Below are 1608 nucleotides of genomic sequence, written 5' to 3'. Positions count from 1 at the left end.
AAATATATATTTATATTATGTATATATATTTTATATATATATATATATATATATATGTAGAACTCCTAGGTTCAAGCAGTGTGCTGCCTTGGCCTCCTAAAGTCTTGGGATCACAGGCTGAGCTACTGCGTCCAGCCTACGTCTTTCTTTATTTAGTTCAATTGTGTCTCCCTCTGTTTCTGCACATCACGTGACCACCTGAGCAAACATCTCCCCATGATCTTCGATGGGATAGTGAATCTTGTTTTATTGGTGTACCTCTTTAGGCTTTGAACCTGAGAGAATGACAAGCGTCTTAGAATATTTCATTTAGAAAATAAATTTTGTGCTCTTCCAATGTTCCAGGAAGTTTACTTCTGTTGAAAAAAGGGCCATAAGATGCAATTATAATAAATGTATTTCTGGGAATGTAGAGAAATACTTTTATAAGACTCTGTTCTAGATCTGGCACGTCATTGATGTCATCATTGCCCAACTGCTTTCTAGGACACTGGAGTCGAAGGCCGTGAGTCAGCCATGATGGCAGCTGAAGAAATTAATGAGGACTATCCAGTAGAAATTCACGATTATTTGTCAGCATTTGCGAATTCCATTGATGCTGTGGATGAGATGCTGAAGAACATGATGTCTGTTTCTAGAAATGAGTTGTTGCAGAAGTTGGACCCACTTGAACAAGCAAAAGTGGATTTGGTTTCTGCATACACATTAAATTCAATGTTTTGGGTTTATTTGGCAACTCAAGGAGTGAATCCTAAGGAACATCCAGTAAAGCAGGAATTGGAAAGAATCAGAGTATATATGAACAGAGTCAAGGAAATAACAGACAAGAAAAAGGCTGGCAAGCTGGACAGAGGTGCAGCTTCAAGATTTGTAAGAAATGCCCTCTGGGAACCAAAACCGAAAAATACATCCAAAGTTGCCCATAAAGGAAAAAGTAAAAGTTAACTTTTTGGATTTGATGTACACATATTCAAAAAGTACATCTCTTTTTTTCCCACAAAGTAATTCTGTGACAGAGCAAGGTTTAAATGTATTCCTTGTTGAATTAATATGTAAATTTACAGTAAATTTGTAAAGCTCAATACTTTCCTCTCCAAAGGTTGTTATCTTTATTGATTTGCACTATGAGGATTTTAACATTGTGATATATTTTATATTTACAATTTACCATCTCTTTTGAAGAGACTCTTATTTCTTTATGTAGGTCAGTCTTGCAGGTAGCATTTTCTTAGGAACTGTGAAATTTAAGTGAAATGTTCTTTGAAAATATTTGTACTATTTTCAATGAAATAACACACTTATGCCATCCACAGACACATATAAAATACTCAATAAAGGCCATTTAATGTAGCTGATTGGATGCAGTTCCAGATACAGTTAGCTACTTCCCCAATTCACTGTCTATTTCTTCTTTCTCTTATTTATTTTGAGCTCATCAGTTGTAGCAAAAGCACACACTATTTTTCCTCTGTAGTAGTGTAGACAACTGAAATGATCTCTTGGTAGAAGTTTTAATCCAGTCATTGCTTTATTTTATTTTATTTTTTATTTTAGATTTGAAGTTTCATGTGCAGGTTAGTTACATGGATATATTTGCACATACTGCAA

General features: G+C 34.7%; 1 pseudogene; it reads left to right on the top strand.

Moving 5' to 3' along the window:
• C1DP2 (C1D nuclear receptor corepressor pseudogene 2) lies at window positions 464-1303 on the top strand (annotated as a pseudogene).

This window comes from Homo sapiens, chromosome 10, assembly GCF_000001405.40.
Source record: "Homo sapiens chromosome 10, GRCh38.p14 Primary Assembly".
Lineage (NCBI taxonomy): Eukaryota > Metazoa > Chordata > Mammalia > Primates > Hominidae > Homo > Homo sapiens.
The sequence above is the reverse complement of the archived record's forward strand: the minus strand, read 5'-3'. Positions and strand labels throughout refer to the sequence as shown.